General features: G+C 41.1%; 1 protein-coding gene across 12 annotated transcripts in view; it reads left to right on the top strand.

Annotated features, from left to right (window-relative positions):
- CTNND2 (catenin delta 2) overlaps window positions 1–12991 on the top strand; it is a 932611-nt gene that overhangs the window by 815899 nt on the left and 103721 nt on the right. For 7 of the 12 annotated variants that reach the window (NR_109988.2, XM_017009072.2, XM_005248251.4 and 4 more), the window contains 2 exons: window positions 4593–4667; window positions 5702–5852. Coding sequence is in view for 11 of the 12 variants with exons in the window: in XM_017009072.2 (XP_016864561.1) it covers window positions 4593–4667; window positions 5702–5852 (226 nt within the window). In the remaining variant the exon portion in view is untranslated. The remainder of the gene's footprint in view (window positions 1–4592; window positions 4668–5701; window positions 5853–12991) is intronic. The other 5 variants (XM_017009074.2, NM_001288717.2, NM_001332.4 and 2 more) reach the window with 1 other exon arrangement.

Here is a 12991-nt window from a genome sequence, read left to right as displayed (position 1 = left end):
ACTTCCACCCATGAGGCACTATGTTTAAAGAGAAAAAAAAATATGTAGATGAAAAGTTTTCTGACTTAGTGCCTATTAACTTAGAACAAGAAACAACTGAATTAATTTTATTTTCCTAAATTGGATAAAAATATCACCAAATCTTCCATGTCTGTGAATGTAGTGGCTCAGAGCCTGCACCTCTCAACCACCACTCTTGTTTAGAGGGTAGTAGTGTGAGCAGTTTCATTTTGGACCTCCACTGTGGTCAGTTTCCCCTTCTCAATGGTGTATTCATGCATCACTGTTACTAAGGAACACACAGGGGTCTCAGAATAAGATCTGAGGCAGCCTGAGTCTCATACCATGCACTGTCTATCATTTAACAGGGTTGTATTTAGTTCCCCAGAAGGCATTTCTAGATACCAGTTGCACACAAGGATGACATCTCTAATATTTGATTACATCCACAGTAAAAACAAACAAAAAACCTTTTCATGTTCAGAAAGTTTCCTTTTTTAAAGAAATTTTTTAATTGAAAATTACTAATCCTTGAGATAGCTTGAGAGTTGGGGAATGAGTATGCTTCTTCCAATCTCTTCAGTGAATGCTTCCTCTGGGTCACTTTTACTTGAGCTTGACCTTCTTTGTTTGTTCTTACTACAAAAACACATCTAAATGTTTTCCCCCCAGGAAATTATCTTGCCTGTACATTAATATTTTGAGCATTGCATAAACATATGGGCTAAAATTCAGTCTTTGCCCTAACTTGACTTAGATTTTTAAAATTCAGACAAAGAAACAACAGCAACAAAAAACACTAAACATGCAATAGTTGCCATTGCCTTAACCAAAATTTGTGCTTATTAAATTGATTTATTTCTTTACTAACAGAATGGAATTCTTCACTAGTCATCTTGACTAGAGATACCAGTTTTCAAAATAGATTTAGAAATTTTGAAAACAAAGTTATGTAAATCCATAACATAACTCTGGATGTGAAGAGCCAACACCTGACTTCTATATCCATTGCAGAGTAACCCCATCATTTGAAGGACCTTGTGCTAATACCACCCCATTATTTCATAAATCCTAGAGCAGGAACCAAGCACAGTTCCTTTCCAGCTGGGAGAATCTGGTAATTCAAATAATAATCCATTCTAGACAGAATAATCTGGGGCATACAGCAAAAGCCATGCCGTTTCCTAATATTTTATGCATTGTTTTTATAATAAACTACTGGTAAAAATAAGACTAACTAAATAAGCTTTTCAGTGCAGGAGGTGTTTCCTACCCTCTTGTCATGGGAATGAGACACCCTGGTATTGTAAATAAATTCAGAAACAAATTTAGGAATCACATGCCATTTGTACCAAATTCATTGTATGTATTTTTCATTGGAAGAGTTTGGTTTTAAAATTTGACTTTACCTTGTTAAAAGAAAAACTGAGGATATGGCTAATTTGATAAAGAAAATTAATGCACAAATGATTATTTAACTGAAAATCATTTAATTGCAGACTATACTTCTAACACAAGAGTACTTTTAGAATATAGAGAATTATTCAACAAATTCAGAATTTTAGCACTATAATGGATTCAGCCTCAGAAGAGAATATTTAGTACTTAAAGGAAAACACTGTCATTGTAATTTAGCAAATTATTAGGATTTCAATGAGGAAAAGCTAGTTAAATTATAGTATTAATCTCCTTTCAGGAACAAATAGGCCTTCACAGAATCACCTCAGTTTCAGCAAGGGGGAACTTTTTGGAAAAATTATGACCATCAGTTGTATTTATAGCTGGGCTGGGATTTGTAAAAGTCAAATCCCTGGAAATCCACATTAGAATGAGACAGTCTGGCCTTAAAGGGTTAAAAGATACTGACTTCTCCTTGTTACCAAATTCTCAATACATACAACTAGGAATTTCATGGGACACAAACTTGTGTGCAAGTATCTTTGTTAATTTACTTCAGGTTCATCTCTGAGCCCTCATTTGCCTGATGCCAACAAATAGAAAGGAAAGAAATGTGAATCTCAACATTTCTAGGCAAACCCAGTCAAATTCAGCTGTTTCCCAGTCCCGTCAGTCTGCAAGCGTGGCCACATTTTACGTTCCTCACCTTCATCCTCTCCTGCCCCTGCAGTTGGTGCTAAACTTGGGGGTCTTACAGGTATAGTCCCGCACAGAGGATGGGGGTGTGGTGTCCATTTCTCAGTGTAGAATCAACTCTGTTCTATGCAGCCTCTTCTCCAGGACACACATGGACGTGGTGATTGGTGATTGGACCATCTCCGGTCCAGGGTCCTGTCTTGGCCCACACCTGCCTCCATCCCTTTTGAGCTCCCCTGAAATCCAACCACCTCCTCTCCTTAATCCAGAGAGGCACCGTCTGCTCCCACCATGTGCTCCACTGATGTGTCTCCTCCCTTCTGGCCAAGTAACCCCTCTGCAGCCCTGGGTCCTTCGTTTCTCCTCCTCAGCTAACCTACACACCCCACCCATTCAAGAACACCCTCAGCAGCTACCCCTTGCCACACTGGGGCTACACGAATCCTCCCAGCCCTCCCCAGCCCAGCAAGCCATGTCACTGTTCCTGCCCTGTGGCTGCCATTCTGGGATGGTACAGGAGACTTCACTGAGTCTTGCTCAGCCACTGCAGTCATCCTAGAAGAGCAGCCAAACTGTGGAGTTTCCATTCTCCCATCTTCAAGGGGGATGTCATCCTCAGTCCCCCTTATCCATGGAGGGGGGCTTGTCCAGGAGGACTCCAGGGATCAGCTGGCAGCCCCCACAGTGCTGCCGCATCTCTTGCTTCCTCTCCAAACTGCATCCTTTCTTTCCCCAGCATGGAGGCTCTGTATTGACTAGGGAGAGGGCAAATTATTTTCTCCCTGTTCCAATTCTCTTTCAAATATATTCCATCTTTTACCTGGATCTGTGCCCTCTAGCCTTAGACAATACATGTTTGCTGCTTCTCTGTCCCATGCTGACAACACTTCTTTGGGTCAAATAATGGCCTGAGCCTCTCCCCAGGAAGAGGAGTGCAAAAGCTTTGTCCCATCACCTGCAGGAAGGGATCCTTTCCTGACACAAGCGAGAAATTCCAATTAGACATGACTTCTTGTATTGGACCTACTAAATCTGGACAAATTGGTCTCATTTACTGTGATAACATTGGAAATCTTCTATATACACACAAACATACACATAACTAACCTTTCAAAATGAAAGCTATTTTCTATGTCTCAATAATAAAAATATCAAATCTATTGTCTGGTTATCCTTTCTTTCTTAGGGAAAACACATCACTGCTCACCAGTTTCTCGTATCAAAAATGTGTTTCTATATCATCCACATTTTTGGTCCTAAGTAGCCTTTTTTGTTATTGTTGCTCTCAAATCAATTCCCAGCAAAGCTGAAGGATTCCCATTATTCTCCAAATACCAAATCACCTTTTCATCCAGCATTGGGGGGTGTGGCTAGTACCTGGACTTCTAAGGACAAAGTTATGTCCATTTATTCTTGGCTCATTTCAGATGTGGCCAGGTTCTCCTCTGTCTGTGTCTGGAAGGATGGAGGGAAAGGCTAGGTCATATCTGGGAGACTGAGCATGGAGGATTAAAGGAGAGGGGATGAGATGATGGTAGAGGGGGTATAATGTCAGCAGCATAAAAAAAGACAGATATGAAGTAACAGGACCCAGAGTCAAGGGCACAGGTGTCTCCTGTGGGCAGGTTATTGAATATCTTTGTGCCTAAATTTCCCCCTGTATAAAATAAAAATGCTGACCTCCCTGGAGTTTCAAGAATTAGAAGAGATCTCAAATATATAAGCCAGTCGCATGGGGCCTGCAAAGAAGTGGTATGGTGGAAGAGATGAACTCATCTTCCCCAGTTCATCTCTTCCCCACCAGGCTGAGGGCACTTGCATCAGCCTGCCTAAGTTGCCAGGAGTACCCCTGCCATCTCCCAGAAGGTCAAGAATATCTCCCCGATGTTGCAAGTTATTGTTGATGTTCCTTTTGCAATATGTCATTGTTGACCCCACACCCTGATTTGCATTCTCTTCCTTTTTCTAGCTTCTCTCCTTAGTTTTAGGGAAGATCCCAGGATTAAGTGGGCTGCATAAGCTCAGATTTCCAGGCTTTTCCAAGCTGGGGACTGGAGACTCAGCAGGGCACAAGGAGTAGGGGAGGCAGATGTGTCCACAGGAAGTCATGTTTCAGCATGTCGGTTAAATGCATCGATGGAAATTGGCATTGTACCAGGAGAAAGGGCTTCCTCCCTGGGAGGGGATATCAGTTCCGGATTCCCACATCCCAAGAAGCAGTTTGCAAACCTCAATGTTTTGTCATGTCTGACACTTCCTAACCTTCCACTTCTTTGCTCCCTGAAAGTGGAGCTGTCAAATAGTTCACTGCAGCCAAGAGATGCTTTAGTGAGCTTTACCTGCTCCCTACCCCCTCAAGGCTTCCTAGAGCTTGAGATACAAAGTAGAGGTGAGACAAAAGCATACAGTGTGGGTTGATGGTGATAAGAAACTGTGTGAATGTGATTTCTAATGTAGGACAGGATGAAGTTGTTTTTTTGATTTCATATTTCATGCAGGGCTGGGCTGAGGATGTGGCAGGCATGGCATATGCCCTACGTTCACTGCCAGAGGGGGCTCCCTGCCTGCCACAGGTGAGAGCCAGCTCTGGGGTGCCTGCCCCCATGGGGGAAGGGGGGTGGAGGTGGCCTGGTGGGGGGACTGGGTGGGAAAGGACTGGTCCCCAGGAGGACCCTACCACAGAATCCACAGCCTCATTGCGTGAATGTAATTTTCTTAAATCAAAATGAAATTGCAACAGGTAAAACCCTTACATTTGTGAATTTTTATATTGTACTCTCTTCTCCAGGACACTGTAGAAGAGTATACATCATACATACAAATGTCTGAAAACGTGGGCCTGCATTCTGTTAAGTGAATGGGAATGCTTTATCATCCTGATATTGCAAGGACATTTTAATATGACGCATTACCTGTGTTCCATTAAGGCTGACGACCACCAACCCAAAACAAATTTCATGTCCTACTTTATAAAGAAGACATTGAATTATGGCCCTGAACATTATACAGTTTAACCTTAATGTTTTTTAAAAAACATTTTACCATGTGCACTCTTGCTTTTCAATGTCATATTTACATTTATCCACCCCTGCCTATTTCTGACTAGTTGACTCTTTATTGTTCAGCAAACGACTTATTGACAGCACGTTCAGCAACTCACCTGTGTGCCCCATCTCCAAATTCAAAGCTGTCTTGAGAAATCACTCCCACACAACCCATTCTCATTTTCTACTTTTTCAGGGTTCTTGTTTTATTTCTCTTTAATGCCACTGGCCACATCCGCTTGTCCCAAACCTCTGTATCTTGAAGCATCAAGTATACGCATCACGCAAATGGCTTTCAACTTCAAGTACTGAAAACAGTGTCACAAAAGAAACCTAATGTGGTTCACTGATTAACCCTGAAATCTTTGTCCCCAAGTTGAAGGCAAAAAATACAGTTAAAAAGTTTAAATGCATGTCTAACGTATTCAACCCATTCTACAACTAGGTCTTGGTAATTCAACCTTTTTGGCTCCTGTAAGCAGCCGCCTGAAAACGCAAATGTACTATTTGCATGCAGGGTTTCTTCCTGTTTCTAACGCCCTTCGCCTTCCCTGTTTTTGCAGTGGTCAGTATATATCCGAGCCGCTGTCCGAAAAGAGAAAGGCCTGCCCATCCTCGTGGAGCTGCTCCGAATAGACAATGACCGTGTGGTGTGCGCGGTGGCCACTGCGCTGCGGAACATGGCCTTGGACGTCAGAAATAAGGAGCTCATCGGTATGTTCTCCCTGATTCACAGTGTCTCAAGTGTTAAGTGAAAATATTTTCTCTAGGGGTAGGTGTGGTTGAACCCGTATGCATAGCCTATGCTTACACAGAAGCCGTGCATTTATTAGCAGCCTCATTTTTTCTGCTGTCCTTCTGATTTAAATCCACTGCACTGAGTCATCTTTTAGAATTTAGAGGAAAATGTGATGCTCGTTGACATTTCTAATCCTTGCAAATTAAAAAGAACCTCAATGCTCGGCACAGGATACCGTTGTCTCAATCCTCTGAATCTCTGACAGGCTGTTTGTTTGTTTCCCATGCAGTGAACTGAGGAATTCTGATAGGATTACTTTTCTTCCCCTCTCTATTTTAAATTTATTTTGGATGAGACCACTAGCCCTTTAATCCTATTCTTTTAAGAAATTATCTCTCTTTAATTTGGTATTCAAGAAATACAGAGGATCTTTTATTAATAAGGCACAAAAGAGGTAATACATTCACCTGTCTATTCAACAAAACTCATGGCCTGCTTTGTTCCAGGCCTGTTCTAGGCCCAGAGATTAAATCAATAAGCAAAACAGACAGAAAGCCCTGCCCTTGTGGAGTTTACATTCAAGAGAAGGAGATGTTCAAGAAGCAAACTAAACAAATGAATCACAAAATGGAGCTGAGTAAAGGGTAATTAGTGAGATTGCAAATTTCTTTTTAATTGAGATATCCACATAACATAAAATTGACCACTTTAAAGTCTACCATTTTAGTGGCATTTAGTATATTCATAATGTTGTACAATCACCACCTGTATCAAGTTTTAAAACATTTTCATCACCCCAAAGGCAAACACTGTTCCCATTAGCAATCACTCTCCATCCCCCTTCTCCAGCCCCTGGCAACCATCAATCTGCTCTCTGTCTATGGATTTTCCTATTCTGGGTATTTGGTATAAATGGAATCATAGAACATATGACCTTTGTGTCTGACTTTTTTCACTTAGCATAAGGATTATGTTTCTTTAATGGTAAACTAGTAAGTTATAATCATAGACATTCATGGGACACAAAGTGATGTTATGATATACAGGTTGAGGGTCCCTAATCCAGAAGTCCAAAATCCTGAAATGCTGCCGAATCCGTAATTTTTTGAGTGCCAACATGATGCTCCAATGAGCATTTCCAATTTTGAATTTTTAAATTAGAGATGCTTAACTGGTATGTATTCTGCCAATATTCCCAAATCCGAAAACATCTAAAATCCGAAAACACTTCTGGTCCTAAGCATTTTTGGATAAGGGGTTCTCAACCTGAATGCATACAATGTGAACTGATTAAATCAAGCTGATTAACATTTCATCTCTTCAAATAATTATCTTATCTTTGGTGGGAACATTTGAAAATTTACTCTTAGCAATTTTGAAATATAAAATACATTATTATTAACTGTAGTCACCTTGTTGCATAATAAATCTCAAAAAATCTGTTCTTCTCAAGTGAAACTTTGCACCCTTCCACCAACATCTCCCCATTCCTCTTACCTTCAGTCTCTCATAACCACCATTCTACCTTCTGCTTCTACAAAGCATGTTTGTGTGTGTGTGTGAGTGTGTGTGTGTGTGTGTGTGTGTGTGTGTGTGTGACAGGGTCTCATGTGTTGCTCAGGCTGGAGTGCAGTGGCATAATCTTGACTTACTGCAACCTCCACCTCCCAAGTTCAAACAGTTCTCCTGCCTCAGCCTCTCGAGTAGCTGGGACTACAGACACGTGCCACCATGCCCAACTAATTTGTGTATTTTTTAGTGGAGGTGGGGCCTCACCATGTTGGCCAGGATGGTCTCGAACTCCTGACCTCAGGTAATCCACCCACCTCGGCCTCCCAAAGTGCTGGAATTACAGGCATGAGCCATCGGCACCCAGCCTATGCTTCTATAAATTCATTTGTTTTAGATTCTACATTTAAGTGAGATCATGTGGTATGTGTACATATGTAAGTGGCTCATTTCACTTAGCATAATGTCCTCCAGGTTCATCCATGTTGTTGTAAAGGACAGGATTCCCTTCCTTTCTGTGGCTGAGTAGTATTCCTTTGTGTATATATACCGTATTTTATTTATTCATTTATCCATTGATGGACACTTAGATTGCTTCTATACATTAACTATTGTGAATAATGCTGGAATGAACATGAGAGTTATAAATGGTTCTGTGACATACTGATACCAGATCCTCTGGATATATACCCAGAAGTGGGATTACTGGATCATATAGTAATTCTATATTTAGCTTTTTGTAGAACCTATATACAGTTTTTCTAATCAGTACAGTAGTGGCTGTACTAATATACATTCCCGCTAATAAAGTACAAGGGTTTCTCTTTCTCTGCATCCTCACCAACACTGGTTTTTATCTTTTTGATAATTACTGTTCTGATAGGTGTGAGGTGATAACTTATTGTGGTTTGAATTTGCATTGCTTAGTGATATTGAACCTTTCTTCATATATGTGCTAGCCATTTGTATTTCTTCTTTTAAGTAATGTCTATTCATATCCTTTGTCCATTTTTTAATCAGGTTATTTGTTTTCTTGCTGTTGAATTGTTTGAATTCTTTATATATTTTTGATATCAACCCATAATTATATTTTTGGTTACTAATAATATTTTCTCCCAATCTGTAGGTTGTCTCTTCATTCCATTATTTTTTTTCTGTGCAGAAGCTTTTTAGTTTGATGCAATCCCATTTGTCTATCTTTTATTTTGTTGCATGAGCTTTTGGAGTCAAATCCAAAAACATTATTGCCCAGACCAGTGTCGTATAGCTTTTCCCCTGTTTTCTCCTAGAATTTTTATAGTTTAGGTCTTACATTTAAGTCTTGAGTCCATTTTTAGTTGATTTTTCTATGTAAAAGTCTAGTTTCATTCTTCCATATGTGGATATCCAGTTTAGGGTTGTGATTTTCAATGCGAGGTCAAGATAGGGGTGGTTGGAAAAGTAACACTAGAGACTCAAAGGAGATGAGACAGGAAGCCATGCAGGTATTTGGGGGGAAAAGAATCCAGGGAAAAGGCCCTGGAGAGGGAACTGGGAGCAGGCCAGTGGGCTCCAGGCCTTCAAGGGACCTTGTGTACCTGGCAGGGCGAGTGTTGGGAGCCAAGGTCAGAGAGGCCTTCTGATGCCTCCCTCTGTAGGTGGGAAGATGCCAAGGCCAAGGCTGATTGATCTCCTGGAGAAAGATGAATCTACTGAAACCTCTCAGAGGATGACACAGTCCCCACAGGCCATTGGTCTGGCTGGTAGGCATCTGGTGTTAGGGATATCATTTCTGTAGGGTCACTAGTCCAATGACAGCATGAAATCTGGCAGCCTGAATGCAGGGAACAGAAGTCAGTAGGTAGCATCCAGAGGCTCAGCAGAAGGGAGCTGGACCAACCCCCGTGGCAAGGGTGCAGGTGATCTTGGGAACTGGGAGAAATTAGGTGACAATAGGCAAAGAGCTCAAGATTCCATTCCTGGGGCAACTGGAAGACCAAGTGTGACTCCAAATTGCAGACAAAATGTTTTTATAGTTACATGGTTCTTTTTCCCCTATCCAAATTACAGATAGTGGTATATTAAGCCTTTTATGACCTGGGAAGCAGCCACTTTTTCTCCTGCCATTTCACAATAGCCATCATATCCTCCAAGAAAAACCATAATATTTGCAGCTCTTCAGCCATTTATTTATTCACTGCAAGGCCAGGCTGCAAATCTGTGTCTAACAGATTCACCATACTTGTAATTCATTATACAGCGGGAAATAAGCTTGCAACTTGCTATTTACACTTAGTTTGCATTTAATTTAAGGGTTATCTGTGAATTGTGTAGATCTGGTATATCTAAAGTAGGTCGTTAGCTCCAAAGGTCAAGGTACTCTTCCCATATACTCTTTTCTTTTTTTCGTTGCACAGTTGTTTCAGACAGGACAGCACTGGGATTCCCAATAAAATCCTATCCCTTCTCTGAAAAATGGAGAAAAAAATCAATAGCTAATCAGTCTACTGCCTGGATACTAACTACTTGGTATTGTGTGTTTGTATGTGTGTTTTTTTTCTTTTGGTGGATTAAAATATAACAAAATAGTGAACTATTGATTGGTTTGACAGCTCCTAGGCATCTCTTCTTTCTCAAAAGCCAGTTATCTAGTCTTCTCTCGGAGACAGGAATATTTAGACCACTATACTGCCTGTGTTCAACGAAACCTTTACTATCAAATGTCACCAGATGGGAAATGAAGCCAGTCATTTGAAAGTAGAAGGGAAAATATCTAAGTCACAGGCTTTATGAAATCAATATTTTTTTCTTGACTGAGAATAGCAGAATTTGACAAGAACAACATTGGATTGTATTTAAGAGAGAGGAAATGCGACTTTTGCTAACTATTTTACTTTAAATACTGTACCCAAGTGGTTTTTGTAGGAAAATGCTATACAGAACTTTATACACAGAAGAAAGCTGCAGTGACTTTGAGTGAAGAACAATGAAAGGTTAATCTTGGACCTCCTCTCCTCTCCATCACCTCTCACAGAAGGCTAGGGTGACATCATATGGTTTCATGGCATTGAAGATCATCTGTATTCTGGTGACTCCAAACAGGTATCTCCAGCATGAACCTCAGATCCTGTGTCCAACTGTCTGCTCTATCCTCTCCACTGGATGTCTTATGAGTGTCTCAAATATAGCATGTCCACAACCAAGGTCTCTCCCAGACCTGACCCTTCCATAGTATTCCCCCAGAAAATGACCAGTTATTCTTGCAGAGACCTGGGACAGACACCTTGGCGTCTTCTTTGACTCGTATGCAATCCACCTCATACCTAATCTATCAACAAATCTGGTTGTCCTTCTGAATTTTCGCAGACTTTAACACTTCTCTTCATCTTCATTGCTTTCTCTCTGGTCCAAAACTCTCATCATCCCTCTCCTGGCTTATTCCTGAGCACCCCCTTACCTAGTCTCCCTGTGCTTCCTTCACCCTAGATGGTCTCCTATTGCAGTGGCAACCAGAGTTATCCTGTTGAAACCTTAGTCAGAGCACGTCACTCCTTCACACCAAACCCTCCTCATCTCAGTGTAAAATCAAGTCTTTGCAGGGCAGATGTGGAAGCTCCCTATGACCTCTCCAACCCCACCTAGTCCTCTGGAAATTAATAAATTTTCTGAGGCCACTGGTTGACTGTGATTCCTATATTACATGCTCTGAGATCCTGCCTCAGGGAATTTGAACTTGCTGCTTCCTGGAGTCTCTTCCTCTTGGCATTCATGCAGCTCAGTCCTCACCTCACTCACGTCTTTCCCAGAGAAGCTTTTCAGGCCACCGTACTTAAAATCTTACCCTCAGCTCCTTTCCCTGCTTAATTTTCTCCACAGCCCCAATTACCTTCTAATATATAATGTATTACTTATTCATCTTGTTTTATTTCCATCTTTCCCCACTGTAAGGTAAGCCTGTTAAGAGCAGAGAGTTCTCTTATTTCCTTGCTGGCATATCCCATGTACCTAGAACAATGCCCAATCTGTAGTAGGGACTTAATAAATATTTGCCAGAAAAAAAATGACTGAACCGAATATTTCCTGCTTGTCGTCATCTTAAAATGACCTCCAAGTCAGCAAAACATTAAGGAAATTAAATAAAACATTAACTTAAAAAAGGGGGGTTTTCTATTAAAAAAGCCAAGAATCAAACAGCCAGTTTCTTTTCTCTATAAATTTACTAGATGCATGCAGACACTCAGGATTTCAGAAAGAATCCCTTTCTTTTCCATCATTGGTTCTGGATTTTCAGTTTAAAATAGAATTCTTCGTAGATCATTCTTTTAATGAGAGGTTGGGGGAAGCAGACTCCACAATTGCAGCTAAGGAATCATTCATCTTTCTTAGACTCCATTATCGGGGAAACTCTAAATAGGCTATTGAACAATAATCACCCTATCCCATGAGGTCTAATGAGAATCATACAGTAGCACTAGCAGAATGAAACACGCTTTGCCTCTCCCTTGGCTTTCCATTTGGGTTGTTTCCATAGTTATGTGTATGTCTCTGGGAAACAGCAATAAGTATGCTATAGATAGATCTTTGTGTTCTTCCTACTGGCATAGAATAGTAGCCGAGGTTAATGCACATCCATACATTTCTTTGCAACCTTCAAAAAATGTTAATTATCCTTCTGAGTATGGAAGGTTTAAAAAAGGAATGGTAATAATTAGCATCAGTGAAAAGAGCAAACAATATTGTATTGCTTCAACAGAAAGTTTAGCAAAATGCCACCCATTTCGGCACATGGACAGTTCCTGGTGTAGATGGCAGACACTTATTTTAGGCAAATCCCATCCTCTCTGCCAACAAAACAAACTCAAACCAAACATTTAAAGCATAACATGAGCTTGCATTTACTACCTGCCACCACCATTCAAAGCCCACCTTGCAGTGGCCTTTCCTGATAAAGGCTACTCCCTGCACCCAGAGCTGAAGTGGGCAGCACCTATTTGATAAGAAACCTTCTCACTTGTTTTAGATTTCCATTGTGTAATTTTATCCTCACATTGTCTCTTATGTTTTTTGTGTATGCGTATGTCTTCCCCAAATGAAATAATAAGCAAGCATCAGGTGATGTATTTACTTTTATGTCTGACAGTGTCTAGCACTTTGCTATGCTCATAACAAGAACTCGGTATGTAGTTGCTGAATGAATTAACTGGTGGATAAATAACACAGCGTATTTATTCAAAGAGCAGATCTGGAGGAGGTTTGGGGAATCCAAATAGAGAGAGGAAGGGGTAGAGGGATGTCTGTGTCTGTCTCTTTCTACGGTGTCCAGAGAACAGAGGAAAGAAATAAAGCTTAGATGCTCTCTCAAATCCAGACTCTAATCAAACTCATTCTGCTGCCACTGTGGAAGAGGCTTGAGATTGGAAAGGAAATAGTAATGCTTTCTGTGTGTGATTCAATCACTGCCAAAGGTTCCTGTTGGCGGGGCCACCGCATCCCTGCGGGTACTGGCGGAGCTCACAGAGCCCCTCCACTGGCTGCCCCGGGTGGTGGCAACTTGCCACAGTTTCCAGCAGGCGAACCAGGGCTGGGATGCTGCAAGCATCCTCCTAGCTCCCTGCACCCTCCTGAG

This window comes from Homo sapiens, chromosome 5, assembly GCF_000001405.40.
Source record: "Homo sapiens chromosome 5, GRCh38.p14 Primary Assembly".
Lineage (NCBI taxonomy): Eukaryota > Metazoa > Chordata > Mammalia > Primates > Hominidae > Homo > Homo sapiens.
The sequence above is the reverse complement of the archived record's forward strand: the minus strand, read 5'-3'. Positions and strand labels throughout refer to the sequence as shown.